Below are 5,369 nucleotides of genomic sequence, written 5' to 3' on the forward strand. Positions count from 1 at the left end.
AAGCTATCTCTTCTCTGTGCTTTCTGCAACTCACCTTGAATTTCTTCCTACACGAGATTCAAGACCCTCTCTTGGTGTCTGGATCAGGACCCCCTTTTTCGGCAACAAGAGTTCTGTCTTTTGGGGAAAAAAAATCCTCATTTCTTCTAGACGTCTAAAAATGCTTCACTTCATATTTACACCTGGAACTCGAGTCTGACCCATAAGATACTTAGGAGGGTGAGGGCCCACGTCTCTGTGCAGCTTAGGGTCTGGTTGTCCCCCAACTCCTATTGCCCACTGATTAATGGGCACTCCAGTTTTTCACTGAATAGCTCAGCATCAAGAAAATGGCCTATGAGCAAGCCTACAATTTGGAACAGTTCCCTGAGGTCATGGACAATTGCCAGCTGTCTTCTGTCTTGATTATTAGGAAAGGAGGGAAGGAGATTGGACTGACATGTCCAGGTTCTATACAGGCTATGTGTGCTTTGAATTTGATGAAGTCTGTGCTAGCCATGAAAGTCTGACAGAATGGCTATGAGTTGGTGGCTGGTTGTGAGTGTGGCTCAGAGCAGGTGTGAGGGTCATTGGTGAAAACTTAAGACTTGTCATGAGAACTGCACAATAAACAAGGTCCCTTGGCAGTGTCTATGTGTGTGTGTGTCCGTTTAGAGGAGGCAGTGTACAGGGAAGAGGCTAGAAAAATCCTGGCTTCAAATTCTTTCCTCCCATGAGAACCCATTTTCATATTTTGAAGCAAACCTGGAAGGGTCAGCCCTTCTCTGAGCCATCCTCCTTGTTGATGGCCAAGCATCTGTAAGAAACAAGAGCTCCATCTTGGTAAAGTCTGACTACCCTAGTTGTTGTCTACTATATCTGCCACATTGGGGCACAGGCAAAGCCTTGATAGTTGCAGCAATAGTGACCTCAGAGACATTTGGTACCTGCTCCTGACATGCCCAAAGGAATTGTGCATGCTACAGCCATGCCTGCCCTGTGGCTGCACTTGACTTGATGGGGAGGGTGTGGACTGCCTGGCTGCATTGAAGATGAGGGTAGCAAAGAAATAAGGCTGGAAAGGGCTGGCTCTGCCTTCCAAGGCAGAAGCTGTATGCCTGGGCAGGAAGTGGAGAGCATGAAATAGACCTCCAACTTTTAGATGTGGGCATAGCGTTCTTTTCTTCAGTTGTACTACAGGCTGCTCCCAGTTCCAGAGACTCTGCTATTGACTGTCTAATGGTTCCAAATATTCCCACTTCTTTGTCTTCATGCCTTTTGCAGTGTGGCCTCTCATCAAGGGATAAAGTTCATTTACCCACTTTTGCATCTAGGCTGGCCTCAGGTCTTGCTTTGGACAACAGAAATGTGGCAAAAGTGACAGTGTGCCAGTTATGAGCCTTGATCTTAATAGGCCTTGCAAACTTCCACTTACCCTCTTGGGCCCCATAATGACCCTGTGAACAAGCCTGGGCTAGCCTACGTGAGGGAGGACAAATGTGGCCCAGTCACCCCCATGGACCCAGTTGATAGCTGTCAGTTCCCAGAAGGAGAGCCAACTAATTTACCTGCAGTTAACTATAGACACATGAGGAACCCAGGTGAGATCAGGAGAGGCACCCAGCTGAGCCCAGCTTAAATTGCTAACCCACAAAATTACAAGCAAAATTAATGATTGTCGTTTTAAGCCACTAAATTTGGGGGTGATTTGTTTCATAGAAATAGATAACAGACACACACCCCAATGGGAGTAGGTTAGGAGAAGGCTGGGCTGTTGCTGAGGGTGGGAGCGATAGCCAAGAGTTGCCTGAGGTCAGGAAGCCTCGTCAGGTAGGTCTTACCTTGAGGCCCTCCTGGAGATTGGGCAGGGGAAGCCAAAATCCCAATATAAGATGGGGTGGCAAGGAGCCTGGGGCACAGCTGACGGGAATAATAAGGACTAGTACACCTGGTTACCCTGGGCAACAAATAAAACTTTAATAATGATAAGGAGTTGCTTTACGCATGCGCTCTTTCCAGATACTCTCTTCTTCCAGGCTGTAGGTCTTGACCAGATCACTGAAGTGGTCTCTCCGTGATATAAAATCCTGATTCATTAGCATTAAGTCACCAGGGAATTCTGATATGCAGAAAAGATTTCGGTTTGTTAGGCCTGCGATGGACCGTTCCGGTTTCTTTGCGGGGAGGAATGATTTGCGATCATTTCCATGGTATGTTAAACATTTTTTTGGTTCTTTTGACTTGAAAACTACATTCATTTTTATTTCTCGTCTTTTTGTGTTTTTTCCCTCTGCCTCCTCTTTCTTATCTTGGTTGGCATCATCACAATTATGGGTGTCATAGTTGTCTTCCTTTCGTCTGGCCTTATTTTTTGCCATTGGACCCAGGCCCACCCCAGACAGAAATGAGGAGCGTGTAAACCTTTCAATGTAGGGTAAAGGCTGATGATTTCCCAGAGCCCGAGCAAGCCTCATCCTCTCTATGTGCTTACTGACGTTCACCTGCTCTCGTTGTGGCATTTTAAATGCCTCCAGGGGCGCAATCACCTTTGCTGTCCATATTTTTTCTAGGGGTACACAAATAGCACAAGGAGAGGAATGTTTCTTTTTATACTCCATTGCTTGTTTGTAGTCCGGAGACAGCAACTGTAGTTCCTTGAGCATTCTGCATTCTTCCTCTTGCTTGTAAGCCAAAAGCCTTCTTGCTGCTATGGTGTGAATGCCACCTAGACGCTGACAATGGAGAAAGGACTATTAAAATCTCAAGAGCACAGGGGCAGGCGGCACCCACAGAAACTTGCTAGTGGCTGGTTCTCCCTCCATTGTGGAAAGTGTTTGAGCCTCTCTGTAGTGGAAAACAGGTGAACCTTTGGCGTCAGATAACCTTGGGTTCAAATCCTGACTCTCCTCTGACCTACAATGAATTCAGAATAATTTTGTTGACTTTACAGGGTCATGGTGAAGCCTCGACAAGACAACATATACGAAAGTGACCAGTGCAAGGTAGGAGCTGAAGAAATAACTGTTCCATCATTTGTTATTTACTCATATTTGTAAGTGGGACGTGTCAATAAGAGTATTTTGCTGTGGGCCGGGCGCGGTGGCTCACGCCTGTAATCCCAGCACTTTGGGAGGCCGAGGCGGGTGGATCATGAGGTCAGAAGATCGAGACCATCCTGGCTAACAAGGTGAAACCCCGTCTCTACTAAAAAAAAAAAAATACAAAAAATTAGCCGGGCGCGGTGGCGGGCGCCTGTAGTCCCAGCTACTCGGGAGGCTGAGGCAGGAGAATGGCGTGAACCCGGGAAGCGGAGCTTGCAGTGAGCCGAGATTGCGCCACTGCAGTCCGCAGTCCGGCCTGGGCGACAGAGCGAGACTCCGTCTCAAAAAAAAAAAAAAAAAAAAAAAAAAAAAGAGTATTTTGCTGTGCAAGTGTGGAAGCCACTAGCAGATTCAGCCAATGGGAGTCTACTGTTTGAGAGGCAGCTCTGTTACTGGTGGCTTCTGAACCTTTGGCTCCCTCTAGCTAAACTGGCTGGCTTCAGTGGGGCCTCTCCGTGTGAAAACTGCGGGACACTTACTAGGATCTCTTTTTCCAAGGGGGAGTATTTCCCAAGGGCAATCCGTGGGTCTGATCTGTAGAATTTGCTCCATATCCTGCAAGAAGAGAAGCAGGAATATCAGAATTCTGGAAAGGCTCTTCCTACTTTTCCCTCCTGGAGTGGGAAGGCTCATAAAGGGTTATTCTACACTAGCCAGGCTGAGGCCGCCATGAGCAGGGGTTTCTGTAGCCACTGGGTAGGCTTCTCCACTTGGCCTCTTTCTGACATGGACAGACTAAAGTGCAAGTCAGACTCACCGCAACGGTGAAGCAGAACTCAGATCCTCTTGGCAACACGTTGGGGCTTGATCCTGAAAGGAAGAGTTGGTATTAAATATTCTAACTGGCTTTTCATTCTTCCTTTCTTGCACCATTGTGTCACTAGCCCTCTGTTTTTCAATCCTCTGACAGTCATTCTTCCATTCTCTGATCATACTCCGGCAATAAGCTAGGACGGGAGGTGTTCACACCTGGAGTTTGTTTCTAAGACAATGTGATGAGGGCCCGAGGGTAAGTCACAAACATTTCTTGCATCATAACTGGCTTACCTGGGGGCTATTGTGAGGTCTGAGTTTAAGACATTGAATGATCCCCTGGGGTGAAATGGACACACATTACCAGGCTCCTGGTGTGTTGGAGTCGAAGAGAATGGATAGAGAATGTGGCTGGGAGGCAATCTGACCATGTCACTGCCACTGAAAAACCCACAAGACTGCTCAGTTTTCACAAGAGGAAGACTCAGTCAACTAAAATCTCTCTCACTGGCTTTCACTAGTCTCTTCAGCCTTAGCTCCTCATGCTTGATCAACGCCACACTATCCATCATTCTCAAAACAAGCGTCTGAGCTATTGTTCACAGTCCCCTCATGTGTTGAATAACTCTCTTATCCTTGGCAACTTGCTTGTCTCTCAGGACCCAGCTTAATTGTTGCTTCCTCTGAATGTCTCCTTGCAGAATAAATCACCCTTTGTCCATGTTCTCATAGCACTCTCTGCCTCATGCTATGGTGCTTTCTCACATAATGACTTGCTTGGTAAGTCAGATTTCTTGGTAAGTCTGTCTCTCCCTCTATTGAAAGAAGGTACCAACAGCATCTTATTCTTCTTTGGTGTGTGGTTGTCAGCATAGGGCATGGTGTAGGGCAGATGCTCAGTTTGCTAACTCAGTAAACAATTGTCCTGAGACCCTGTTCAAAGGTGTGGTTAAGAATGGCACTGGTGGGAATTGATATTGCCAAAACTCTATGGAAGGTAATTTGGCAATATGTATCAAAATTATAAATGTATTTGCCCTTTCACCCAGTTATGTGTACAAAATAAATTACTCCCAAGGTTGGTCAGTGTGACTTTGTTTGAGGTGACAAACCTCATGGCAAATTCAAATACCCATTAACCAGTAATTGGTCAGAGAATTCTAGTTAGCCATACAATGGAGTATAGGACTATAGGAGTCAAAAAGATCAAGGAAGGAAGACCTTTACTTATATGGAAATAACTCCAAGAAACATAATCAAATGCAAAAAGCAAGATGAAAACATATATAAATTCTAGAATACTCTTTTGTGTTGGGGAGGGAAAAAATAAGCATGTATATATTTGTATTTGCATAAAGAAACCAGAATAATACACAAAAAACTAGTAAGACAGTAGGTATTCAGCAGATGAAGAAGTGGTGGGAATGAGCCATTTCATGGTATACATGAAGATATTGTCTTGAATGTAGAACCACATGAATGTATTAGGTATTTGAAAACATAAATTTAAAAAGTAAGGAAGCAGCTCATGGAAAA

General features: G+C 45.4%; 1 protein-coding gene across 1 annotated transcript; it reads right to left on the reverse strand.

Moving 5' to 3' along the window:
• Window positions 1-1,931: 1,931 nt before the first annotated feature.
• C10orf120 (chromosome 10 open reading frame 120) lies at window positions 1,932-4,069 on the reverse strand. Its single transcript, NM_001010912.4, has 3 exons — window positions 3,838-4,069; window positions 3,560-3,635; window positions 1,932-2,711 (listed from the first exon to the last, which is right to left on the reverse strand). Exons 1-3 carry the CDS (start codon window positions 4,011-4,013, stop codon window positions 1,956-1,958), a joined length of 1,008 nt encoding a protein of 335 aa, NP_001010912.1. The 5' UTR covers window positions 4,014-4,069; the 3' UTR covers window positions 1,932-1,955.
• Between the last annotated feature and the right edge of the window lie 1,300 nt (window positions 4,070-5,369).

The sequence above is a fragment of the Homo sapiens genome, chromosome 10 (assembly GCF_000001405.40).
Source record: "Homo sapiens chromosome 10, GRCh38.p14 Primary Assembly".
NCBI lineage: Eukaryota > Metazoa > Chordata > Mammalia > Primates > Hominidae > Homo > Homo sapiens.